This window comes from Homo sapiens, chromosome 18, assembly GCF_000001405.40.
Source record: "Homo sapiens chromosome 18, GRCh38.p14 Primary Assembly".
NCBI lineage: Eukaryota > Metazoa > Chordata > Mammalia > Primates > Hominidae > Homo > Homo sapiens.
Genome location: NC_000018.10, coordinates 6,573,574 through 6,601,139, shown reverse-complemented (window position 1 = coordinate 6,601,139; position 27,566 = coordinate 6,573,574). Strand labels below are relative to the sequence as shown.

Sequence of the window (27,566 nt, the reverse complement as noted above, 5' to 3'; positions counted from 1 at the left end):
TGTTCTCAGTCTTCATCATATTGATCTACTGGCAGCATTGATTGTAAGTAATCAATCTCTTTCTTGAAATGCTTTGTTCATTTGACTTCCAGAGGACTCTCTCCTTTCCTATTTCCCAACTGGGGCTGCTTCTCTGACTCCTGCTGCACCTGGCCGTCTTCCCAATTTCCAAATACTGGAGTACTCCAGGTCTCAGTGCTCTCTTCCAACTACCCTCACGCCTTCTGTAATGTTGTCCAGCTCCAGAGCTTTACAAATAAACTGCAAGCTGGCAATTCTCAAATTTATATCTCAAGCCCAGACTTCACCTCTGAATTCTGGAATCATATTCCCAGATGATTACTCAAGTCCATCACTGGGATTTCTAACAGGCATCTCTAACTTACAATGTCCAGAATTAAACTTTTGGTTGTTTTCTTTTCTCTCTCTTTCTTTTTTAACTCCTAAACAAGTTCTTTCTGAGATCGCATCTTCATAAAATGGTGCCTCTGTGTGTTTCAGTGCTTGGTCCAAAACCTCATTGATTTACCTCATACCTCACCTGCAATTCACCGACAATCCTGTTGGCTCTTCCTTCAAAGTAGATTCAAAATCTGAGGATTTCTCGTCCGTTTCACCTCTATCTTGCAAGCCACTGTTCTATGCCACTTATACCCTTGCCACGCAAAGGGTGGTCTGTGGCCCAGCAGCCCCAGCTTGCCTGGGTGCTTGTTAGAAATGCGAGATCTCAGTCTCACCTCCAACAGAATGAATCAGAATGACATTTTCTGTCAATGCCCAGGTGGTTCATTTGTATGTTACGGTTAGATGTGCTCTGACCTAAACTACAGTGACAGTCCGCGATTGTCTTCTGTCTTTGCCACTCTTTATCCTATTTTTCTGACTGATACAGCAGTTAGAGAGATCTTTAAAAAATATAAGTGTGGGGTCGGGTGCGGTCACTCACGCCTGTAATCCCAACACTTTGGGAGGACAAGGTGGGCAGATCACGAGGTCAGGAGATCGAGACATTCCCGGCCAACGTAGCAAAACCCCATCTCTACCAAAAATACAAAAATTAGCTGGGTGTGGTGATGCACACCTGTAATCCCAGCTACTCGGGAGGCTGAGGCAGGAGAATCGCTTGAACCCAGGAGGCGGAGGTTGCAGTGAGCCAAGATCGTGCCATTGCACTCCAGCCTGGGTGACAGAGTGAGACTCTGTCTCAAAAAAAAAAAAAAAAAAATATATATATGTATATATATGTCCGAGGATGTCACTCTTTTGCCCCAGCCCTCCAATGGCTTTTCCTTCCCTGGGGCGGGGGAGGGGGTAGGGGGGCGGGCAGGATGCTAATGTTCCTAATGGCCCCTAAGCTTCACTTTAATCCATGTCCCTACCTTCTGACCTCATTTCCTACTAGTCTTCCCCTTGATCACTTCACTTCAGCCATGGTGGCCTCCATGACACCTCCGCTATCCCACCTACTAGACAGAAAACTCACAAACTTCAGGATCTTTGCCCTTGTTTCCTGGAACCTCTTCCCCAGATATGGACAACTTATTCCTTCACTTCATTCAGATCTGTTCAAATGACATCTTTATAGCAGAGGCCTTTCATGACATTCTAAATAAAATAATATCCCTCTGTTACTCTCCATCCCTTTTCCTTATCTTATTTTCTGCATATTTCTTTATATCATATACTTATTTGTTTATTGCTACTGTCTGCTCATTAGAATGTAAGTTCCATGAAGTCAGGGACTTTTGCTATTGTGTTAATGCTGTTAGAATAGTGGCTGACACACATAGGTACTCCTTAAATATTTACTGAATGGAAAAACAAATCTCCAGTTTCTCATTGAGTATTATGTTCACTTCATAAGACTAACTCTATTTGGTAAAAGCCTTGGGGTTATTAGATAACGTGCCCTCAGTAGGCTGTGACTTGGGAGAGGGCTTTTAACAGTAAGGATTGCTTTGGAGCTTCGGACTTGTCAATTGATGCATTTATCGCCCATTCTTCCCCAATGGCCTAAGCACAAGATGCAGGAATGGAGACCCAGAGTTGATCAGGGTGGGACAGGATGGCTGGAACAGTCACACTGTGTGACACTGGCCAGCGCTGGCTGGAGGGTTTACTCCTAGAAATGTGGTTAAAAGCCAACCTCAATCCAGCCCCAGGTGTTTCAAGTGCTCACCCCATCTCCCGAGCTGACTTTCCTTTTATTTTAGGCTGAGCTGTAGGTTTACATTCGGCAGCATCCAGCTGAGGTTTTGTAATCAACAGTGAAGGTGAAAAGCCTGAGCAAGCCTGGAGAGACAGCGGAAGGCAGGCTAATGGCACCAGGACGCAGAAGGTCCCAGCAACCAGAAAAGACAGCAGAACCGTAAATAACCCCTAGGTTTGTGGCATCCACAGAACCAGGGCGTAACCCTTTCATCTCTCAGTCATGCAAAGGACCAAAGCTAATGTCCTTAAAAAGCTTAGGAAAGAGCTGCAGCCGGACAGCATCACAATTTTGGATATTTACCGACCAGGGGGAGTAGAGGCCAGAAAGATTGCATTTAACAGGCAGAGTTATTTGGCAGATTTACCTACATTTGATTTGAAATTCTCTTTGGGTGGAATTTGGTTTTTATTTTTTCTCTCTCTAGTGCTTGTAACAAGCTGTTTTCCCTCGCATGTTACTGTTGTTAATTACCTTCTGAGTTTCTTAGTCACATGGCACTGGTGCTGAAGAAGACCTGAGAGGGATTCTTGCCCAGACCCCTTGTTCTGTAGATAAGGTAGCGGAAGTTCAGCAAAGTGAAGCACTCACTCTGTAGCCTGTAAGCGATGACAGTTAGGAATGGTCCATGGGCCTTCTGATGAATATATTAGCCCCATCTGTCACCCAGGGATGAAGCCACACTTAGATATAAGGTGTCTTTGCTTGAAAGCCAAGGCCAGGCATAGTCTTCAGGTTCTACCACCTTTCCTCATCTTTCTCCACCTCCAGCCCCAAGCCCCCAGAGCCCTGATCATGGTCCTTGGCCTGAGGCCCAACGTTGCCCTCCTTTCTTGGCTCCTTGTCTAAGGACAAAGTACAGAGTTCAATCTCTGCCTCTCCAAGCTTCACCCTGGGAAAATTCCTTCATCTCTCAGTTTCCTCCTTTGCAAAATTGGGAATAATGCTACCAACCTTGTAAAGCTGCTGTGTTGCTGTCCACAATAAATGAAATGAGAGAATTTCCTATGACTTTGTAGATACATACCAGGCAGTGTCTCCCCTCCTCCACCAAGTCCCACGTCTTCATTGTCTTGCCTTCAGTTATATTAAGTAGGAAATGACTGTGATAAAAGAACTCACAGCCCGTTTGACCTTCAGCAAGGTGCAAATAAGTGATAAAGCTTAATGTGTTTGAATAGCCAGAGGCTGTTGAGACCCCTTAGCAGAAAGAGTTGGATCTCTTTCCCCAAAGCCCTGAAGTACCAGGCAGGACCTGAGCTGCCCCAAGCCCTGCTGGGACCTACCAGCTGTCTGAAAGAGAAGCCAGGAGAGGTGATGCCGCCAGCTTCACCTCTGAGATTCCTGTTCCCTGTGCATCTTTGATAACAAACGGCCTCTATGCACCTTTCCACCACGCTCCCACGCATTCATTACTGCAGTGGTGTCCAGAAAATTTGTCCAAAACTTTAAAATGGGCGTAAAAGATTACTAAGAAAGGTTTTTCAATGAAATGCTAGATGCACTGTACGAGATTATTCAACTCTATACAGTCTGTGCTCTCATTGTCTTTGAGTTACTTTATACCTCTGTAAATTGTCGAAAACTCACAGTAATTCCAGCGATTCTCATCAATAGAGATGATGCAAATGAATCTTGTCCAGGTGCAGGAGCAATTGACTCCCTTCTGGGCAAGAGGCTGGTTTTGCATCCATTAGCAAACTTATTCTAACATTCCTGGTTGCCTAAATATATCCTTTGGATCTTCTTTGGAATCATTTAAAAATATTGTAATGATTCTATCATTAGTTAATGAGTGGAATAAAATCTTGGACATGTGTTCATTAAATATTTTTAAGATAGTCATGATTTTAGTTTTTCAAAAAGTTATTTATCCTTTGCGGGATGGGGTGGCTCACGCCTGTAATCCCACCACTTTGGGAGGCCAAGGTGGGTGGATCACCTGAGGTCAGGAGTTGGAGATCAGCCTGGCCAACATGGTGAAACCCCACCTCTACTAAAAACACAAACATTAGCTGGGGGTGGTGGCACACATCTGTAATCCTAGCTACTCGGGAGGCTGAGGCAGGAGAATCACTTGAACCTGAGAGGCTGAGGTTGCAGTAAGCCGAGATCGTGCCAGTGCACTCCAGCCTGGGCGACAGAGCAAGACTCTGTCTCAAAAAAAAAAAAAAAAACTTTATCCTTCGACATTAGGGACCTCCTACCCTGCAGAACTTGGCTCACACGAACTTCTTGGAGGAACCCTCCTTGGTTTCATTCACTGAGTCCCAGAAGCTCTTACTGTCCCTACAACACTTTAGGTCCATGGCTTCATCCTAGCATCTTTGTTCCTGCATTACCTCCCCAATAGACCATCATCCCGAAGATCACTGACCACTTGGTGGAATCCTGGATGCCCTTGAAACTCCTAGCCCTATGCCTTGCACAGGATAGATACAGTATTGAGTCAACACTCTTATTTGCCTTACAAAGTCTCAGACATCTTGAAATCCTTGAATTAGTTCCTGATTACTAAATATTGACTAGACATCCAAGTGTTAGTTCGGGTTCAAAAATAATAAGAAATAATAAATGGAAAAATGCCTAGCCCTTGCATATTGTTTACTACATGTCAGAAACTATTGTGAGCATTCTTATGTATGTCTACTTATTTAATCCTCACAATAAGCTTATGAGGTTGTTCTACTCCAACCTGATGTGATAAATAAGGAATTGAGGCAGAGAAAATGTACATAACACACCTGTGTATAGATGTAGATATGAGCAGGCCTTGCAGGGCAGGGCCATGGGCACCAGCAGCCTGTGCTGGCCTCTGGATGGCTCTGAGTCCATGAGGGAGCACATTTAATAACAAACAAAAAGTGCCATCACAGATTAAGAGTGGCCGGGAAGAAAGCAAAACATTGTCTATTTCTGCATTTTAACAGCGCTTTGTTTCTGCCTTTTGAACAAAGGCCCTACATTTTCCATTTTCCATTTGCGTTGGGCCCTGCAAATCTGATAGCTGGTCCTGGCTATAGAGGCTGCCTTATTAGCAGATGAGTGTCTTTTCCTGTCAGTCCGTCAGATCCCAGAACACTCAGTCCTTGTGCCCCCACATGTGCATGTGAGGTTTTCAGATGTTTCTGCATCTGAACTTCAGAAGTAGATAAAGCTTGGGCTGTGCTGGGATCACAGCCTGGACGTGGAAGCGCTCACACAGTGAAAGGAGAGTTTGCCGCTGGCTGTTTACTGTGCTGAGAAGGTTGTGGAGAGTAACAGCTCTGGAGCTGGCCCCCTGAGTTTGTATCCCAGCCTCTGCCATTTACCATCTGTGTTACCTTGGGCAATTTTCTTAGATTTCCTCTGTATATTAGAATGGAAGTAAAAATAGTACTTGCATCCTATGGCTGTGTCTGCAGCATGGTAAGCCTTCAATACCTGTTAGCTGTTTTTATACATTTATTGAACATTTATAAAAGTCTTGGAGCCAGAGAGTTAAGATGTAGAGATAGATAGATAGATAGATAGATAGATAGATAGACAGACAGATAGATAGATAGATACATACATACATACAAATCGTAGATGAGTTAGAGAGATAGATCTGGATATACAGATACAGATACATGTGTGACTCTGCAAAGATTAAACTGACTGGGAGCAGAGGAACCTTTGCAGCAACGAGAAAACGTGCCCTGCCTAAAGGCATTCATATTCAATGTTTAGAAAGAAAACACTGAGTGGTCAAAGAACAAATGTTGCCAAATGTTACGGGTCATATTTTGTCTGTAGGCCATCCTATATGTGAACGTGATTTTTTTTGAAAGATAGGTTTCCTAAGTTGGTGTTTCTTAGCCTGTGATACCAAAATAATATACTAAAATATATTCATTGAATCTATCATTCTAGATAATAGAAATGGCAAAACACCCAATAATATGTTGAGCAATTTTTCCAGGTTTTGAAAAGAAAATAAATCTAGAATATTTAAACTCTTCAATAATGCATTATACAGATTTTTAAATGTTGAGCATGGACACTTCTATCGTTTGAATGGGTGTCCCACCAAATTCATATGTTGGAACCTAAGGCCCCATATGGTAGTACCAAGAGGAGGGGGTTTTAGGAGGTAATTAAGTTATGAGGACTCCAGTTTCATGAATGGGGTTGGTACCCTTAACTAACTGGCCCTTTTGCCCTTCTGCCTTCCCCATGAGCGGGTATAACGTTCGCCCCTTCTGCCATGTGAAGGTCCAGCATCCACCCCTCCGCCAAACAAAGACACAACAAGAAGGCGCCATCTTGAAAGCAGAGAGCAGGCCACACCTGACATGAAGTCTGCCAGTGCCTTGATCTTGGGCTTCCCAGCCTCCAGATCTGTGAAATAAATACGTATTATTTATAAATTACCCTGTCTCAGATATATTGTTATAGCAGCACAAACAGACTAAGACAGACACTTATTTTTTAAGGGAGTTGCTTGTTTTGAAACTAGTTATCTCCAGTGAATGATATAGTTTGGCTCTGTTTCCCTACTCAAATCTCATGTCAAATTATAATCCTCAGTGTTGGAGGAGAGGCCTGGTGGAAGGTGACTTGATCATGGGGATGGATTTCCCCCTTGCTGTTCTCATGATAGTGAGTTCTCACAAGATCTGGTTGTTTTAAAAGTGTGTAGCGCTTCCCCCTTCTTTCTCTTCCTCATTCTCCACCCATGTAAGATGTGCCTGCTTCCCCTTTGCCTTCTGCCATGATTGTAAGTTTCCTGAGGCCTCCCCAACTGTGCTTCTGTATAGCCTGTGGAACTGTGAGTCTTTAAACCTCTTTTCTTCATACATTACCCAATTTCAGGTAGCTCTCCATAGCAATACAAGAATGGACTAATAATGATATTGTCAGCCAAAGATTATACCAGCAGGCACAAGACAGAGGAAAATAATCCACATCCAGAATTTTTGGACTCTTTGCCTCCCTGAGTATAAAACCCCCGACACTGCCCCCAGCAAGGTAGATATCCACAGACTACCCAGATAACTTCTACTCTGATTAACTCCAGATTCTCTCTGCTCTGTACTCACACTGACTCTGGTTCCTTCTCCTGACCCCCCAGCACCATGTGACTACAGTATGTGGGTCCCACCCCTTTTCTGCCTATTGTTAAGCCACTCTGGACTGACTAGCATTTGCAGTCCCCACATCAGCATTCCCCAAACCCACACTTTTAACACACACATAAGATCTGTCTCATCAAGTATAAAAGGGTATAACTCAGAGGTACACATGACTGGGGGAGGGGAGCCATTCATGCCTAAAATACATCAGATCAGATGGATAAGCCATTAGTTTCTGCAGCTAATCTTGTAGTAATCATATATTTAAATCATTATGAATCAGAAGTCCAAGCAGATGTTATGAAACACAAGTTTTTCTGGCTATAAATATTTTAAGTGAGAGAAAAGATGTCAACTGATGTCCAACTATTCATTTCTAAACAATATCACTTTTAAATAAAGATGCCTTTCATGATATAAGCAAATGCATAAAGAATGTATGGTCGATAAGATAGAGGATAAAACACGCAGCAGATTATCTCTGAAGGATATTTCAATTCCCACAGGATATAATGGAAATTCCTAAAACTTCTAGGGAAAGAGATAAAACAATGTGTTCCCTACTTTGATGGATAGGATACTAATGTTTTCTCTTCCGGAGCACACATTCCTTAGGAAACAGAAACACAAGGTAATGGCTTGGATTTTTAACTAAATTGCTGCCTTCCACTCTATGCATTTGCAACTCTGGAAGTTCAGATTTGTTTTGGTTACCTGTTTGCAGAGGAAATTCACTTCCCTGAGGTTTAAATGGCCTTGAGAACTCTCTTTGGTTGTTCCAAAGCTGTATTAGCAAACTCTTATATTTGTAGGTACACACACACATGCACCTCCAACACACACGCACACGCGTGCGCGCACACACACAGAGGAACATGAGCTACCTTGGACTTATACTGCAAGACTGTATTAGGTTTGTGCAAAAGTAATTTTGCGATTTTTGACATTAAATGTAACGGCAAGAAGCACAATTCATTTTGCACCAACCTAATAAAAGGCATGTAGCCCCTGGTTCCCAACACCTGCTTTTTAAACCAGTGAAGAAATGCATGATCAAGATATGTACACTGTTCAACATGGGAACACTTGAAAGAAGGAAGTAAATAAAACACAAGTACAGGTGACTGGCATTACAATAAGCTGGTGACCTTGGAGGTGGAAGGGATTAGATTTACTTAATTTTTTTGGTAAGGCACCTACAAGACAGAGTACCACATTTAGTAAGTCACCCCTGTGAATTTCCCAGAATGCACTGAATCAGCCTTCTCCATCCCTTGCTTTCTGCCCTTGGCTCTATAGCCTTCACTTTCAATGACCCTGAGGGCCAGCTGGAGGAACTGGACTTCCCAAGGTTTTCTGAGATTGTCTCTGTTACTCATGTACACCCTGTGCTTGTAAAGCAGCCAGCTGGGAGCAGCATTCAGAACAGAGAATTGGGCACATTGCTGACATTTAGAAAATGTAAACAGAGAATTCACGCAACTTTGCCAGTTAGCAATCAGTGACTATCAACCCCTCTCACCTTCACCACTGCCCCTCCTTTAAAATGGGCACATAGAGAGTTTCTTGTGAGTTTAACAGTGTAAGATTAAAACCAAAAGAGTCACAACAAGGATCTAGTCATGCCTTGATAACATTTCCCACTTAATAAAGCTGTAAAAATGTATGTGTGTGTGTGTGTACGCGTGCACGTGCATGTGTCTGCATTACAAATAATCTTTTGCAATAAAGATGTTACTCTATTTGATTTTATTTTACTTGGACCCATTTTAACTCCTCAGTTTTAAAAATCTGAGTTCTATTAAATATTAAAGAACAAGACCAAGCATAGCTTCTCACAACCCAACCATGAAGTTGCATTAGTAGCCAAGATAATGTATAGAAGATATAGTCGGATCCCCTTCTATTTTAAATATCTTTCTTGTGTTGTACAATAATAACCATTCTTTTTCTTCTGGCACATGAGTATTCCCAATGTAAAAAACTATGGCTATTCTACAGTAACAAATGTTGATAATTCTAAGAACATTTCTGCATCACCCCATCATACTTCTCCTCTGAGTGTTCAGGGCCAAAAATGCTTTTATGGATTCGCTCATATGGTCTCATCTGTGAAGAAGTAGGTTCCAGGATGATGGCATTTCCAGGAGTAACTATGTACTTAGAAAATGACTAATGGGCCATGAATGCTTTCTCAATTTGAGATTTATTATCTCTGATTTCTTATCAAATTCTCGCAGGTAGTGAGACTACTTAAACCTATGCAATAAAGCTGTCAAAGAGGGAAAGAAAGAGATTCGATGAGAGAAAAACGTAAAAGAAATAAAATTTGTGATGTTTCCCTAAGGTCTTTTAAAAAAAATTTGGAAAAGAAATTGAATGTAAACTTTATGCAGAATATGCAAAACGTGCATTCTTTGGCCTATAGTCAGGTAAGAAAATTGGTGGTGGCCAATGAACATTTTTGCAAAGACAAGTGCACAGATGTACAGATCCAAAGAGCCATCTCAAGTTTGCCAGGTCCTTGCTCCTTGGCCTTAAGCAACCTCCTTAATCTCTTGGCACCTCTGCTGTCTCTACTGTAAAAGGAGACCTCCTTCATAGGGTTACTGAGAAGATTTAAAGAGGAAACATAGCAAAGTGCCTGGTGCAGTGCCTGCTACACAGTAGGCTCTGAGTCTTCTGGGGAAAATGTAGGGGGAAAAAGAACTAGCACAGCAGGACCTTGCTGGAGGGTCAGGCAAAGATGAGCAGTTGGAACTCATGACTGGGTTCCTCAAAAAAGCTCAAACCGAGGTGGGCCGATCATGAGGTCAGGAGATCAAGACCATCCTGGCTGACATGGTGAAACCCTGTCTCTACTAAAAATACAAACAATTAGCAGGGCATGGTGGTGCATGCCTGTAGGCCCAGCTACTTGGGAGGCTGTGGCAGGAGAATCGCTTGAACCCGGGAGGTGGAGGCTGCAGTGAGCCGAGATCCCGAGATCGCGCCATTGCACTCCAGCCTGGGCTACAGAGCCAGACTCCATTAGAAAAAACAACAACAACAAAAAAAAACTCAAACCCTAGGAGGTCATCAAAGACTGATTAAAATAATTAAAATGTCAATGCCTCAGGCTGTGTGTATGGCTTAATGTATGTAAAAGAAAAAACTTAATTATTTAGAAAATCACTCTGCTCTCCACCACTGTTTTAGCTGAGGTTAAGTTCCATTCTGTTTCCACAGCAGAGCCTCTCCATTTGCAGGATCCACACGGACATCCAGCTGCCCCGTGCCTTGACCTTTACTTAGCGGCAGCTGCAAAGAAACAAGAATATTGCTAATAGTTGTATTCTGTTCCTCTCCAATAATAGAAATGGACTTTCCCCACCTCTTACTGGGTATGTTTTTCATTAGGCAATTTCTGAGTTTTGAAATTAAGCATGTTTTACATAGCACAAGAACATCTTAAGTTCAGTCTACCTAATGTCTACTGTGGCTAATACTTTTATTGTATCTTCAACTCAATTTATGGATAAGATACAGACCTTTGATGTCTACTGATGAGAACATGGTTTAAATTTCTTTTTACTTTCTATTCACCATTCCTTCACCACTTAGTCACTCATTATATCATTAATAAGCTGCTTGATGATTCTAACTCTAACAAAATGCTAGAGAACAAACTCTAAGTGGAAAATATCATAATAGAAGATTTTAGAGTTACATCAGATTGCAGTTAATTGAATCCATATAATGTGAAGCATATTTCAGAATGGAATTATTTTACCACAGTTATAAATAGGGGCTGAATAGAGCTCAGACGAAGGAAGTGCAGGCTGCAGAGGCAAGTCTACCAAGGTTCTGATCTCATTTTAAACATTTCAACTTCCCACAAGCTGTGTGACCTATTGCAAATTACTTAACATCTGTATGCCTCAGTGTCTTCAACTATATATTGAGAATAGTCGTACCTACCTAGAGATTAAATGAGATAGCATAGAAACTCTAAAGATTAGAGTTGATAAAAATGGAAAATGATGATAACCACTGAGAACGACTTTTTTTCAGAAAAAAATGATCAGCTGTATATTTTTGATAAAATGTTTAGAGTACTCTTCCAAATCAAGGGATTTGGGCAGTGATGAGACTAGCCAAGTGAATGAAAGTCAAAACTAAGAAAATATATATAACAAAAGTTTGTTGTACAAAATCGGTGCAACAAATCAGTGCCCAGAGATCCACAGAAGGTAGAGATGAAGAATGAGACAAAAGGGATCTCAGGATTAGTCTGACAAACAGTAACAGGCAGCATGGAGAGGCCAAAAGGAACAAGCCAGGAAGCTACCAAATGACACTAACACCAAAACTCAGTACCTTAATTCCAAGGAAACGTTCCTCTTCACCTGCATGAGAACCAAGGAATGTTATTATTAGCATCATCATCATCAACAGATAATATTTGCTAAACACTCACTAAGTGCCAGGTACTAGTAAAACTCTTTGCTTGTATTATGTGTTTCTCTAACAACCTTATAAGGTTGCCACTAGACTTACCAGTCTTATCTGCAGATGAGGAGGCCCAGGTTTAGAGCGTTTAAAGCAACTTACCCAGCATCAAACCTCTATGGCAGAGCCAGTGTTCCTGCCAGATTGGTCTGACATTAAACTCCAACCTCTTAACCAAAACAAACAAATAATGACAATGACAACACGCAGAAAAAGAGGATTTCTGGAGCTTCCAATGTGTGCACAGCAGACTGTAGCAATACTGGCCATTGCAGTACTAGGCCTGGTATGCTGGAGTTGGCTGGATCCAGTTCCCAACTCCATGTTCAGTGACTGCATTGGTAGCATAGCAGGAGTATTTACACTTTGGAAATTGGCAAATACCACAAATTGGGCTTTTTTTTTTATCCTGGTGAGCTGGTTATTAAACACTCCCCAACACACACTGCCCGCAGATCTTTGGTGGTGATACTCACCAACAGTTTGAGGGTCTGGCCAATGAATTCACTTCTGTCCTGTTCATTGTCTCGCTTCTATTTTGAGGAAAGTAAACATCTCAAGTAATTAAATTCCACATGTTCATTTATCCATTCTTTCTTTCCAACAGCTTGTTATTGATTAAAGATAAACTTATTTGAGCCAAAACTCAAGTGATATTTACAGTCTAGGAGCTAGGATGAATAATTCTATGTTTTCAGGAAATATACCATTGATTTTCTGTACTTTATGATACCACACTTCCTGTGAGTTATTATGAATATTAAAAGAAATGTTCTTGAAATTAAATTTCGGTTTTTACTTATAGATACAGAGGGTACATGTGTAGAATTGTTACATGAGTATGTTGGACCCAGGTTCTGAGCATAGTACCCAATAGGCAGTTTTTCAATCCATGCCTTCTTCTCTCCCCCTACTTTTGGGAGTTACAGTGTCTATTGTTCCCATGTTTATGTCCACATGTGCATATGGTATTTGGTTTTCCATTTCTGCATTAATTCACTTAGGATTATGGCCTCCAGACCCATCCAGGTTGCTGCAAAAGACATGATTTCATTCTTTTTTATGGCTGCATAATATTTCATGATGTGTATGTACCACATTTTCTTTATCCAATCCACCATTAATGAGCACCTGGGTTGATTTCATGTCTTTGCTATTGCGAGTATCACAGCGATTAACATACAAGTACATGCGTCTTTTTGGTGTAATGATCTACATATACTCCTTTGAGTATATACCCAGTAATGGGATTGCTGGGTCAAATGGTAGCTCCGTTTTAAGTTCTTTGGGAAATCTCCACACTACTTTCCATAGTGGCTGAACTAACTTACATTCTCACCAATAGTGTATAAGCCTTCCCTTTTCTCTGGAGCCTTGCCAGCATCTGCTGTTTTTTGTCTTTTTAACAATCGCCATTCTGACTGGTATGAGATGAAATGTCACTGTGGTTTTTATTTGCACTTCTCTGATTACTAGTGATGATGAGCATTTTTCATATATTTGTTGTTCACTAGCATGTCTTCTTTTGAGAAGTGTCTTTTCTTGTCTTTTGCCCACTTTTTAATGGAGTTATTTGTCTTTCGCTTGTTGATTTGTTTAAAGTTCTTATAGATTCTGGATATTAACCTTTGTCAGATGCATAGTTTGTGAATATTTTATCCCTTTCTATAGGTTGTCTGTTTACTCTGTTGATGGTTTATTTTGCTGTGCAGAAGCTCTTAAGTTTAATTAGGTCCCACTTGTCAAGTTTTGTTTTTGTAACAATCTTGTTTGGGCACTTGGCCATACATTCATAACCAAGACCAATGTTAACAAGGGTATTTCCTAGCTTTTCCTCTAGAATTTTTATAGTTTGAGGTCTTACATTTAATTTGAATCTTTGATCAATCTTTTCTTTTTTTTTTGAGATGGAGTCTGTCTCTGTTGCCGAGGCTGGAGTGCAGTGGTGCAATCTTGGCTCACTGCAACCTCTTCTTCTCCTGGATTCAAGTGATTCTCCTGCCTCCGACTCCTGAGTAGCTGGGACTACATGAGTGTGCCACCACGCCAGGCTAATCTTTGTATTTTTAGGAGAGATGGGATTTCACCATGTTGGCCAGGGTGGTCTCAATCTCTTGACCTTGTGATCCGCCCACCTCGCCTCCCAAAGTGCTAGGATTACAGGTATGAGCCACCATGCCCAGCCTGATCAATCTTAAGTTAATTTTTGTATATGGTAAAAAGTAAGGGTTTAGTTTCATTCTTCTGCATATGGCTGGCCAGTTATCCCAGCACCATTTATTGAATAGGGTGTCCTTTCCCCATTGCTTGTTTTTGTTGGCCTTGTCAAAGGCCTGATGGTTGTAGGTGTGTGGCTTTAATTCTGAGTTGTTTACTTTGTTCCATTGGTCCGTGGGTCTGTTTTTGTGCCAATACCATGATATTTTGGTTACTGAAGCCTTGAGTAAACTCAGGTAGTGTGATGCCTCCAGTTTTGTTCCTTTTGCCTAGGATTGTTTTGGTTATTCAGGCTCTTTTTTGGTTCCATATGAATTTTAGAATAGATTTTTCTAATTCTGTGAAGAATAATGTTAGTAGTTTGATAGGAATAACATTGAATCTGTACATTTCTGTGAGCAGTATGGCCATTTTAAAGATATTGATTCTTCTAATCCATGAGCATGGGATATTTTTTCATATTTTTGTGTCATCTCTGATTTCTTTCTGCTGTGTTTTGAAGTTCTCCTTGTATAGATCTTTCACCTCCTTTGTTAGCTATATCCCTAGATATTTCATTTTCCTTGTGGCTATTATAAATGGGATCATGTTCTTGATTTGACTCAGCCTGGACATTTTGGTGTATAGAAATGCTACTGATATTTGTACATTGACTTTTGTATACTGAAATCTTGCTAATATCATTTATTGGTTCTAGTAGTCTTTTGATAGAGTCTTTAGGGTTTTCTAAGTATAGAACCATATCAGATAGTTTGACTTCTTTTGCTATTTGGATGCCTTTTGTTTCTTTCTCTTACTTGATTGCTCTAGCTGGGACTTCCAGTACAATGTGGAATAGGAGTGGGGAGAGTGGGCTCCTTGCCTTGCTCCAGTTCTCAAGGGGAATGGTTGTGGCTTCTGCCTGTTCAGTATGATGTTGGCTGTGTGTTTGGCATAGATGACTGTTACTATTTTGAGGTACGTTCCTTCTATAGCCAGTCTGTTGAGGGTTTTTATGATGAAGGGATATTGGATTTTATTGCAAGCTTTTTGTGCATCTATTGAGATGATCACATGGTTTTTGCTTTTAATTCTGCTATGTGATGAATCATATTTATTGATTTGTATATGTTGAACCAAACTTGCATCCCAGTAATAAAGCTACTTGATCATGGTGAATTAACTTTTTGGTGCTGGATTCAATTTACTAGCATTTTGTTGAGGATTTTTGCATCTACGTTCATCAGGGATGTTGGCCTGAAGTTTTCTTTCTTTGTCATGTCAGCCATATTTTGGCAGTAGGCTGATGCTGGCTCCATAAAATAAGTTAGAGAGGAGTCCCTCCTCCTTGATTGTTTGGAATAGTTTCAGGAGGATTGATACTAGTTCTTCTTTATATATTTGGTACTATTAGGCTGTGAATCCATCTGGTTCAGGGCTTCTTTTGGTTGGTAGGTTTTTTTAAGTTACTGACTCAATTTCAGAGCTCAATATTGATCTATTCAGTATTTCAGTCTCTTCTTGATTCAATCTTGGGAGATTGTGTGTTTCCAGGAATTTATCCATTTCCTCTGAATGTTCTAATGTGTGTGCATAGAGTTCATAGTATTCTCTGAGGATTTTTGTATACCTGTAGAATCAGTTGTAATGTCATGTTTGTCATTTCTGATTGTACTTATTTGGATCTTATCTTTTTTTCTTTGTTAATATAGCTAACAGTCTATCAACTTTTTTTGTATAATCAACTTTGGTTTCATTGATCTTTTGTAGAAATTTTTGCATCTCAATTTTATTAAGTTCTCTAATTTTAGTTATTTATTTTCTTCTGCTAGCTTAGAAGTTGGTTTATTCTTTTTGTTTCAGTTCCTTCAGGTGCACAATTAAATTGTTAATTTGAGATCTTTCTAACCCTTTGATAAAGGTATTTAGGGCTGTAAACTTTCCTCTTAACTCTTCTTTGGCTGCATCCTGGAGATTTTGGTAAGTTGTGTATCTATTTTCATTGATTTCAAATAACTTTTTGTTTCTGCCTTAATTTCAGTGTTCATCCAGGAATTATTCAGGAGCATGTTGTTTAATTTCCATGTATTTTTATAGTTTTGAGAGATCTGCTTGATATCAACTTCTATTTTTATTGCACTGTGGTCTGAGAGTGTGCTTGGTGTGATTTCAACTATTTTGAATGTATTGAGACTTGCTTTATGACTTAGCCTGTGGTCAATCTTAGAATATGTTCTGTGTGCAGATAAGAAGAATGTGTGTGGTTGTTGGGTGGAATGTTCTGTAGATCTCTATTAGGTCAAATTGGTCAAGTATCAAGTTCAAGTCCCATTTTTTTTTGTTAGTTTTCTGCCTTGATGATCAGTCTGATGCTGCCAGTGGGGTGTTGAGGTCTCCCACTATTGTTGTGTGGTTGTCTAAGTCTTTTTGTAGGCTAAGAAGAACTTGTTTTATGAATCTGGGTGTTCCAATATTGGGTACATATATATTTAGGATAGTTAAGGCTTCTTGTTGAATTGTGCCATTTATCATCATGGAATGCTTTTCCTTGTCCTTAATTTTTATTGTTTTAAAGTCTGTTTTATCTAATACAGGAATAGCAATGTCTGCTCTTTTTTTTTGTTTTCTGCTTGCATGGTAAGTCTTTCCTCTTCCTTTTACTTTGAGCCTGTGGGTGCCATTACATGTGAGATGGATCTCTTAAAGACAACAGATGGTTGGGTCTTGTTTTTTATGCAACCTGTCATACTTTGTCTTTTAAGTGAGGAATTTTGCCCATTTAGATTCAAGGTTAGTATTTATATCTGTGATTTTGGTCCTGTCATTGTGTTGTTAGCTTGTTGTTATGTAGACTTGATCACATAGTTGCTTTGTAGTGCCTGTGGGCTGTGTGCTTAGGTGTGTTTTTGTGGTAGCAGGTATCATTTTTTTGGATTCCATGTTTAATGCTTCCTTAAGGACCTCTTGTAAGGCTGGTCTAGTTAAGATATACTCTCTCAGCATTTGCTTGTCTGAGAAGAATTTTATTTCTCTTTCACTTATGAAGCTTAGTTTGGCAGAATATAGACTTCTTGGTTGAAATTTCTTTTCTTTAAGGATGTTGAAAATAGGCCCCCAATCTCTTCTGGCTTGTAAGGTTTCTGCTGAGAGGTCTGCTGCTAGCTTGACAAAATTCCCTCTGTATGTGACCCGACCCTTCTCTATAGCTTCCTTGAAGATTTTTTTCTTTTGTATTAGCCTTGGTGAATCTGATGACTATGTGCCTTGGGGATGGTCATCTTTTATAGTATCTAGCTGGGGTTCTCTGTATTTCTTGGATTTGCATATCAACCTCTCTAGTAAGATTAAGGAAATTTTCATGAACTATATCCTAAGATATATTTTTCAAGTTGCCTATTCTCTTTCCTCTTTCAGCTATGCCAGTGAATCATAGGTTTGATCTTTTTACACAATCCCATATTTCTCAGAGGTTTTGTTCATTTTTCTTAATTCTTTTTTCTTTATTTTTGTCTGATTGAATTGATTCAAATAACTGGTCTTTGAGCTCTGAGATTCTTTCCTCTGCTTGTATCTTCTGCTATTAATACTTCTGATTGTGTTATGAAATTCTTATAGTGAGTTTTTCAGCTTTAGAAGTTCAGATTGGTTCTTTCTCACAATGGCTATTTCATCTTTCAGCTTTTGGATTGTTTTAATGGGTTCTTTGGATTCCTTGAATTGGGTTTCAACTGTCTCCCGAATCTCAGTGAGTTTGCTTGCCATCCAGATTCTGACTTCTACATCTATCATTTCAATCATTTCAGACTGGTTAAGAACCATTGCTGGGGAGCTAGTGGACTCACCTGAAGGTAAGGGGACTCTCTGGCTATTTGGGTTGCCAGAGTTCTTGTGCTGATTCTTTCTTATCTGGGGTGGGGGGTATTGGTGTTCCTTTAATTGTGGTGTAAGTTGAGTATAGTCTGTTGGCTTCATTTCTGGATGCTTTCAGAGGGTCACGGCTCTGTACAGGATCTTCATGTATGTGTGAATTCTTGCACTTGGTTTCATGGCTGTATATATTAGCAAGATAAATTTTTCGTGTTGTAGTTTGGCCTGTGATCTAGTCAATGGAGCTTAAGAATAGTGGCCAGTAGCTAGGTTAATACCCAGCCATGCAGCTCTTTTGTCCTTTTCACGTTCACAGGTGTGCTCACCAGGTCCACTCCTGAGCCTTTAGGGAGCCCCTCTGATCCCCGACACTATGCCTCTGTTTCTTTTGTTAGGTTTTCTGAGCCACAGGCCCCTCTGAGGCAGAGGCTGCAGCAGGGAGATATGCCACATTCTTTCTAGACCACCATGTGGAGACAGGCATGCCCTGCTCCTGCCCTGGCCTAGGAACCGATGCATCTCACCCCTCTAAGTGCTCTGAGGGTGGGGAGCTCCTCGCTCACTCAAGTGCCAGCCACAGATCTCTGCTTTGTACTCCCACATTGCGTGTTGCAGCCCTGGAGGCACCAGGATGTCCTGTAGCTTGGGTTTGGGTTCTGGCTGCACTAGGGAATCTGATGTGCTCCTGAGCCACCAGGAAAATACTCAAGTGCAGCAACACCGGCAGAGCTGCAGGAACTGCACTGTGCATCTGCTTCTGCAAGGTGGCTAGGTATGAACCCTGGGAGGGGCCGGCAGGCAGGTGGCCTTTCAGAGCAGTTGTACCCCAGTCCCACAGGGAAGCTGGCCCCACTCTTTCCCGGCTCTGAGGTCAGCTGGGGTCCATGCCTCCCTGATGGGAGTGGGGAGCCCTGGGGGATGAGCATTTATGGCCACTCTCCCCTGGAGTTGCCCAGTGTGCAAGAGCTTCCAGGCTCCATGCCACCCAAAGGCCTGTCTCTGCCTGCTTCCTGGGAGAAACCCCTGCCAGCTCACACATCCATGGGGGGAGGCAGGGTCACCTATAGCTAGGATCCCAAAGGTCTGTGATGAGAGTGAGTCATCCTTCAGTTCCCTCACTCACCCCTTTCCCAGGTTACATTTGGGGTCGGGAACTGGCCCTGGCATCCAGGTACCTTGTGCAGAGATCCCAGCTTCCTTCCTTTTTAGCCTCACCTTCAGTGTTGCCGTCTCATCCACTCTCAACATCTTTCTCCAAAGATCTGCTCAAATTATGGTGGTTTACTCAATAATTTGGTCTCTCTCAGTGGGAGCAGCACTTCCTGGCTGCATCTAGTTGGCCATCTTGTCCCCAGTCCTCAGAAGTGGTATTTTTTAAAGCACCCATTGTTACAAAAACAATGCTGTTTTGGCTGAGTTCTGACTCCTCAGTTAGTATATTGGGGGATTTCTTCACATACGCTGAATGCCGCTCTAAACCAGGGACCCTGTCATTGGCTGGTAATAGAAAGTTCTTATTCTTAAAAATCTGATATTGCATTAATAGGGAGACAGAAACACGAACAACATGTATAATTCCTTGTGCTAAGTGCTGTAAGAGAGGTCTGTATGAAGGATTCTGGGAGACCAGAAGCCATGCACTAACTTGGGTGGGCAAGTCACTGGAAGATAGGAATCCAACGAAGAAAGGCACAGAAAAGGGAAAAAAGACAATGTGATTAAAGATAAAGCAAGCATTGTGTTGCCTGTTAGAGGGCAGTCAGAGTTTCTACTGGAATGATAAATTAGGCCACATCAAGGAGAATCTGGACAATTGGAAAAGAAATGCCTCCTCCATTGCTGCCAATGGGAGATTGCTGTGGTGGTCATATGCAAGGCCGATTAAAGGAGAGAGAGGAGATGGAACGGGAGATACTCAGTCTCCAGAATCAATAATAAGAAACGAAACTCAAGACTGGCAGGGAAGAGAGAATGGATTGGAGGGAGACTTAAAGGGTGTGAATAGGCAACCTTTGATGCCTGACTTGATGGGACGAGGGCATAAAGTAGGAGGTGTGGGTAGTAAAAGCCCAGGCTTCAGAATGCTTTCCTATTCCATAACTTCAGCAATACAGCTGGAACTATGTCCTTCCATGTAAACAAGGACAAACATACCTAACCCACCAGTGATGTGGAGCATCAGATGGCAATAAGGACGACCTGAAATATGCTCCCATTCACTTGGCATTAGGGCATATGACCTTTCTCGTCCCTGGCACATTGCTTGGGACATAATATACCCTCACTAAATCTTTGTTCAGAGAGGAAGAGGGAACAAGGATGGCTCGGAAGACAGAGTTTAAGTAAAAACACGCAGCTAAGTTCCTTAGCTTGTCAAAGGGCGAGCTGCATTTCTGAAAATATGGACAGAATATTGACGTGCTCCTGACATGTGGTTCTAAGTGGTGCTTTCTTCTATTTCAGCTGCTCTAGTTCTACACCAGGGAAGTTCAGAGAGGGTCATTCTATCACAGTGCTTTCCCCTGTAAAGGCTAACCTGTTTATAGTTGAGAGACAACAAAACACCTATTTTTAGAAGCAGCCAAATAATGGATCTTCTAACTACTAATGTGGAGATAAGCTTAGAAGTTTTAAACACAGTCTGTGGCTATAAAATTGCCCATGCATGATGGAACAGGGTAAGTGAAAGCCTCTATTCCCTCTAGACTCATCCTGTCATGGATTGTAGCCTTCTTATTCATGTGTTAAATGTTGATCTCAGAAAGCATAGAGCCATTTCTGCTGGGAGCTGCTATCATCTCTCTGCCACTCAGCCAGTCCATTTTTGTACCTGCATGCTCCTCGATACATATTAAATGATTTTTAGGAGGTGTAGAGGATAGATCAAAGCCTTAGGAAATGGAGGAAGGTAAAATAAAATTTATAATTCAGGGAAAGTATGTGTGGATGGTCTCTTCTTAAGACTGAAAAGCATAGACATCTGGTTTAATCATTTCTAGCCAATTCTCCTTGTAGCCCCTGTGTTTGGAAGACCATCAAACACTCCTACTCTCTTAAAGGCAGAATGTTTAGCTTGAAAGTTTCAACGGACTCTGTTTGTTTCCTTCTCCTCCTATCATAGCAGGCTTTTGTTTTTTAACTATATTGTTTAAGTATGAGAAAATAGACAAATAAAATAGTGGTTTTCCCTGTGCATTTCGAAGGCATTTATCAGAAGCCAGCAATAAATCTTATTTTATTTGACGTTATATCAACCAGTCATCAATCTTCCAAAGACAAGTGTCTTGATGAGCAGAATGCTAAGTGGACCCAACGGTGAATGCGTGGCCATGGCCTTTTCTGTATTAACATTTTCCTCTTTGTCCATTCATAAAATGTAAATTTAATTGTCTTGAAATGCTGTCGAGGTTTTAAAATTTTTCTTTGCGTGGTATTATACCAAGACTCACTTATTCACGTCTTAAACGATGATGCAAGCTTCCTAGCAGTGAATAGCTCTAATTATGATCAGGTCCCTAGCCATTTCATGTTAAATAGCTTTGATAGTCCAACAGATTGGGAGGAAATTGTTCTTCAGTTGATTTGACCCCCTGTTTCTCTCCTCTTTCCCTGAGATTTATTCCCAGACAATTGAGGTGTTTCTGTCATTTGTAATATGTATTATTTTAGCCCTGATTTCAATTCAAACCTCTGAGGCTGCATAACTTGAGGTTAAACTGCAGATTTCCTTCCTGCTTAATACGGGAAACCAGGTTCAAAATATCTGGCCTGGGGACACTGAACCATCCTTTAAAAATAAACCACACAATTTTAAAATAAAAAACATACCTAGTTTCATATACCTAGAAAATTTCCACTTCAAACAGAAATCCTAAATGAAAACAATGGTCTTCAGGTTTTCTTATTTTATTTGAAAAGTAAAGATCAAGTAAGTAATTATTATTCAATAATTTTGCCTTAGGTAATAGAATTTCAGGCAAGGTAAGTGATTGCATAAAAGGAAGGAAATACAGAAGTGGCTGAGAGTCTGAGTCTCGGGGGAAAATATTTGATACATCAACTAACTAGCTTTCCAAATGATTATTTCTAAAGAAAATGGGGAGCCATCCTATCCAGTGACATTCTGATCCAGTTCACTTCATCCCATTCACTGCAGCACACCTCCCTCCCTGATCCCCACACAGGTAGGATCAGAGAGTTAGGTCTTCATGTTCGGTCAGCAGAAATGAACCTGAAAACAACCTGTGAGTTCTCATCTCCCTAGGGTTCCTGAGAAGCAGTCACCCCCTCTCTCCTTGGCATCAAATAGAGATAAAGAGTTTCAAGATTATTATTACAAAAGAATTTGGTTTTTCAAGTTTATTTCTTCCCCTTACAGACACATTCTGCAGTGTGAGGACAATACAGGAGATTTTCTTGAAAGATTAAGCTTGGGAATTTAAACCATTTCGGAATTTACTTAAAGAGATAGGACTCAAGATAGAGATTTACTAATTCCATAGATAATCTGCAATGATTTTCCAAGAAAACCTTTCTTCTTCTTTCAAAGGAAATTAAATGGAAGCAGAATTATCTTTCAGAAAGACTAACTTGGGTAGATTCCCAGTTGCCTTGCCTAGGTAGTCTCCTTACTTGTCAAAGTGCCCAGTCCCCGCTCTCCTAGTCACTTGAGGCCCACCATCTCCTGCTCTTCCACTTGCAAATGTCTCACACTCTGCCTGAGCCTGTGGTGAAAAAATTACACACATCACACCTAGCCAATAAAATGCACTGGGTTCTCTGGTTGACCTCTAGCTTTTCATACATTCTTCATGGCTTGAGATCTGCTTTTTTTCTTCTATCAGGGATGCAACCTACTCATAGAAATGTTTTGAGAATCTCTAATGCATGTATATTTATTTATAAGCTATAAATATATATTACTCTCTGAATATATTGTGTATATTTAAAAATATACACAAAAATGGAACTTTAAAAGTTGTTAGGCCTGGCATGGTGGCTCATGCCTGTAATCCCAGCATTTTGGGAGGCCAAGGTGGGTGGATCACTTGAGGTCAGGAGTTCGAGACCAGCCTGGCCAACATGGTGAAACCCCATCTCTACAAAAAATACAAAAATTAGCCGGTGTGGTGTCAGGCACCTGTAATCCCAGCTACTTGGGAGGCTGAGTCAGGAGAATTGCTTGAACCTGGGAGGCAGGGGTTGCAGTGAGCCAAGATCATGCCACTGCACTCCATCCTGGGAGATAGAACAAGAACCATCTCAAAAAAAAAAAAAGCTGTTAAATAAAATTTATGAAAGGTCACTGCTATGGTTTGAATGTGTCCCCTATATTTCATGTGTAGGAAACTTATTCCCCAATGTGGCTGTATTGAAACATGGGGTCAGTTGCAGTGGTTCATGCTTATAATCTCAGCACTTTGGGAAGCTGAGGCAGGAGGATTGCTTGAGTCCAGGAGTTTGAGACTAGCCTGGGCAATGTGGCAAGACCTTATCTCTACAAAAAAAAAAAAAAAAAAAAGAAACATGGGGCATTTAAGTGGTGATTGTATCATGAGAGCTCTTCCTTCAAGAAGGGATTAATTTATTCATGGATTAATGGGTTATCACAGGAAGAGACGTGGTGGCTTTATAAGAAGGGGAAGGGAGATCTGAGCCAGCACATCACCATGCTCAGCTCCATGTCATGTGATACCCTGCATCACCTGGGGACTTCGCAAAGAGACCTTACCAGGAAGAAGACTGTCACTAGATGCGGCCTCTTGACCTTGGACTTCACAGCCTCCATAACTGTAGGAAGTTAAGTTCCTTTTTTTACATAAATTATCCAGTTTTGGGTACTGTGTTATAAGCAACAGAAAACAGCCTAATACAGCCATCGATTTGGACTGAGCTCCTGCATTAGACCCCAACAAACTAGTCCAAAATGGACTCACTCATTTCATGATGGAGTCCCCTCTGCTTTAACTTATTCAAGAAACGTAACCTGATGTTAACCATTCCGCTTTTTGTACTTGCTGTTTCCTTGTTTCTGTTCAAACTACCTTACAAAAAATGACTGCTGTGCCACACCCAGCAGAGTGCCTGCCTATTCTGTAGACCGAATGCTGCCCAGTTCATGAATCACTGATAAAAGCCAATTTGATCTTTAAAACTCAGTTTGCTGAAATTTTGTTCTTTGGTAAAGTATTAAAGTAACCATAAATAGAAGTTCTAATATTTTCTTTCTTGCATACCTGCTAGGATCTGGGCAGCTGACTTTGCAGGCCACTGAGTAGGACAGTGATCCCAGAGTTGATGGATGACTGAGGTGATGTGGTCCAGGCTGGCAGACTGAGAGCAGGCAACAGTGCTCTTGAGACCTGGTTTGTGATTGGCTGCATCCAAATTCATTCTGAGTCATTTTCGGCCATCTCAACTCCTGCTAAGCTCAATGGTGTCATGCATCCAAATGACTAACAGTTGAGCTAATAATCAATCTATCTAATGGTGCGTGCCTCAGAATTGTTTCAACAAAATGAAAAAATTTTAGGGAATATGACAGTATTCAACTCTGCCTGCTAGAAACATACAGTTCTCCCTCTTTTTCTAAGATACATTGTAAAAATAGACCACTAGAACATGGGAGGGTTATTACCAGAAACTGCAAAACACACAATAAAACAAATATCCTGATGACATTGTAGCACGGATAAAGATTGTGAACTTTCAGAAATTTATTCATTTTAGATAAAACATTTACAGAGACCTATTTTGTTTTCCTTAACATTATTTTAAAAATCATTAAAAGGGTTTGGTTCTTTAACAACAACAAAAAACATGCAGAGCTTTGCTAGTAAAATGTTGAGTTTGTTTGTAGTTGGTTAGAAAAAAATACTATCCCAGATCTCTATTATCTTTATTATCTCTAAAATCATCATTGATCTCTAGGAGATGACAGCAGGCCAATGCTCAGAAAGAAGCCTCGCTTCATGGAGAAATGTGGGGAAAACTGCTTGCTCCAGGAGAAGGATCAAAGGAAGACATTCATATGTCCTCTCGTTTGTTCGCCAGGTTTCTGTGGAATCCCTAAAATGTGTTAGGCATTTAGGGCGCAGAGCTGAGAGAGATGCTGTTCTTAATAAGTTCTCAATGGACTTACAGGCTAGTGGGAGAGAGCAGTAAACTAGCAATTACCTGGGAGAAGACCTCGCCCGCAGGAACGCACAGGGGGCAGTGACGGCCCAGCAGAGCAGCACGGAGCAGATCGCAGCATTTGGGAGGCCCTCCGTCTTGCTGGCTGGGTTGAATTCTAAGGAATATGATAAAGTTATGAAAAAGAGAAATTAATAAACATTGACTTAGCAAGTACTGTGCATCACATACTCTGCTACAAATATAATGAATATAGTTTCATGATAGGAATATACTGATATTAGGGCAGACCTGAGATGCAGACTTCCGGAGTTCATACCCAGCTGCGCATTTAGTTTTTTTTTTTTTTTTGAGACAGAATCTCACTCTGTTGCTCAACCTGGAGTGCAGTGGCATGATCTTGGCTCACTGCAACCTCTGTCTCTTGGGTTCAAGCGATTCTCTTGCGTCAGCCTCCCAAGTAGCTGGGATTACAGGCACCTGCCACCACACCTGGCTAATTTTGTATTTTTAGTAGAGACAGGGTTTCACCATGTTGGTCAGGCTGGTCTCGAACTCCTGACCTCAGGTGATCCACCCGCCTCACCCTCCCAAAGTGTTGGGATTACAGGCATGAGCCACCGCACCCGACCCACATTTACTACTAATAGCTGGGTGTAGTTGGGTAAGTTAGCTCACTTCTCTAAATGTCAATTTTGCCATGTGTTGAATGGGATAATAACAATATCCCATTTAGAGGTAAATAAGATAGCTATGAGGAAGGAACTAGACAATCTATGAGCAGCACTTAGGACTATGCCTAACATGGTAGATATTAGCTATTATATATCTGTCAATCTAGTAACTCATGAGGTAGCTATTACTATTATTGTTATTTTTCTCTCATTTCAAAGACCAGGAAACCGAGGCCTAGGGAGCATTAGTAACTTGCAATGCTACTACTATGGAGTGGAATCCAGGCTGCCTGGGAACTTCCAGGCAGAGGCACTGGCCTAGGAAAGGGAACAGAAACACACATTGATTTAGGGATGAAGGGAATAGGGGATGCTTCAAAAGGAATGATTACCTTGATTATTTGAGGAACAGAAGGCTGAATGTCAAAAAGTAGTAAATCAGAAATATTTTTCCCTATGTGCATGTTAATAATAAGTTGTGTGAATAGATGATCTGCATGAATAGATGAGAAGCAATTATCCTGGAATTTTAGAACTATAGATAGGTTTCAGTATTTTCCACAATTCAACAATCAGAAGGAGAGAGAGAGAGAGAGTGAGAGAGGAGAGGCTTAAGAATCAGATCACAAAACAAAACAAACCAACAGCTGTGCAGCGGAGAGAGGCCTAAATAAGTTTGCAATAGGTCAGCATAAAAAGCTAGTACACAGTATATGCTGAGGTATATCCATTTGTTTTTACTGTTGGTTCCATATTTTGTTGACATTTGACATTTAATTGTAAAGAGTGTACTACCTATTACTTTGCTTTGTCATACCAAAACATTTTTCTTCTTGATTTATACAATTTTGGTTCCCGGAATGTCTTCCTGTCCGGTCCTAAAGCTCAAGTTTCTACACTCTTATGCCACACCCTAAGTTACAGTTCCAGCTCAGGACTGGTGATGGTGACCAGGAAGGTTACATGATCCAACAACACCGAGCACTAGTGACCCCTTTTCCTAGCTGCCACCAACAGGGTGAGCTTATCCACCCAGGTGCCTCTGAAAGGAGCCTTGCTCCTTCTGCAAGGCTGCTCCCATTTTGCTGGGTGACTTTGCACTGTAGACAGCCTCTTGCTTACTCTTTCAAGCTTACTCCTAGGTAATTTATTAAAGGAAAAAAAAGAGAAAAGTATCTGAAACACTAATATTAGTAGTTTTCTGTTTGAATCATAGAAACAACAACAAGGAATCATTACTTCCTTTCATGTATTTACTAACTCACATTTCCTACTAAGATTTAAGAGTGAGAAACATCAAGGTTTGACTGACAATGCTGAAGTTCGATGTCATCTGTGTGGCTCACGACCGTCTTTTTTTTTTTTTTTTTCCTGACAAAGCAGGCGTTGGGCATTGTTTTGATCCCATTAATGACCACCCAAGATAAGGAACTTTTCCATACAACTGGGATGCATTCCTTCTTCACTCAAGGGATTTTTAAATCCCAGAGAGGCTTTGAAAACAAATGCGTAGCTTCTAGGGATCCCAAGGTATAGCCACTAATGAATTATAAATAAATAGAAATTCTCTCTATAATTTTTACTATACAGATAAAATAGAATGGGTCTTTCTTGGACCTGTAATTGCAACGCTCAGGTTTTGCCAGTGGTGTCTCTCAGATTTTGAAGGCCTTCAGCTGAAGTTTACTACATCATAAGAAATGCATGCATCATTTATTTCTATGAATGTTGTAAATGCAATCACTAAACATGACAATTAGTTGAGCAGAAAGTGCATGCAAGCTGACTGAAAGATAAGCTAATGAATAACTTTTCTCTTCAAATTGAGAACACATTTATGTGGCTTAAGATCTGAAAAAAATAAATAAAATGTAAGATCATCTAAAATACTTTTGGTCA

The 27,566-nt window shown here is 40.9% G+C and overlaps 2 long non-coding RNA genes across 2 annotated transcripts in view, besides 1 other annotated feature; one reads left to right on the top strand and one right to left on the bottom strand.

Moving 5' to 3' along the window:
• Positions 1-27,566, top strand: part of LOC107985176 (uncharacterized) — a 78,185-nt gene that overhangs the window by 46,024 nt on the left and 4,595 nt on the right. The window lies entirely within an intron of this gene.
• LINC01387 (long intergenic non-protein coding RNA 1387) overlaps positions 10,487-27,566 on the bottom strand; it is a 79,238-nt gene continuing 62,158 nt past the window's right edge. Inside the window, exons 3-6 of the long non-coding RNA NR_120518.1 lie at positions 25,036-25,150; positions 12,273-12,329; positions 11,665-11,693; positions 10,487-10,605 (exon numbers count right to left, since the gene is read on the bottom strand). This is a non-coding gene — a long non-coding RNA (long intergenic non-protein coding RNA 1387). The remainder of the gene's footprint in view (positions 10,606-11,664; positions 11,694-12,272; positions 12,330-25,035; positions 25,151-27,566) is intronic.
• Positions 24,936-25,162: a silencer, noted in NCBI's record as "fragment chr18:6575977-6576203 (GRCh37/hg19 assembly coordinates)". NCBI's record gives its function as "represses an EF-1alpha promoter that drives an FKBP-Casp9 reporter gene in an ReSE screen in K562 erythroleukemia cells {active_cell/tissue: K562}" and the evidence as "EXISTENCE:reporter gene assay evidence [ECO:0000049][PMID:32094911]".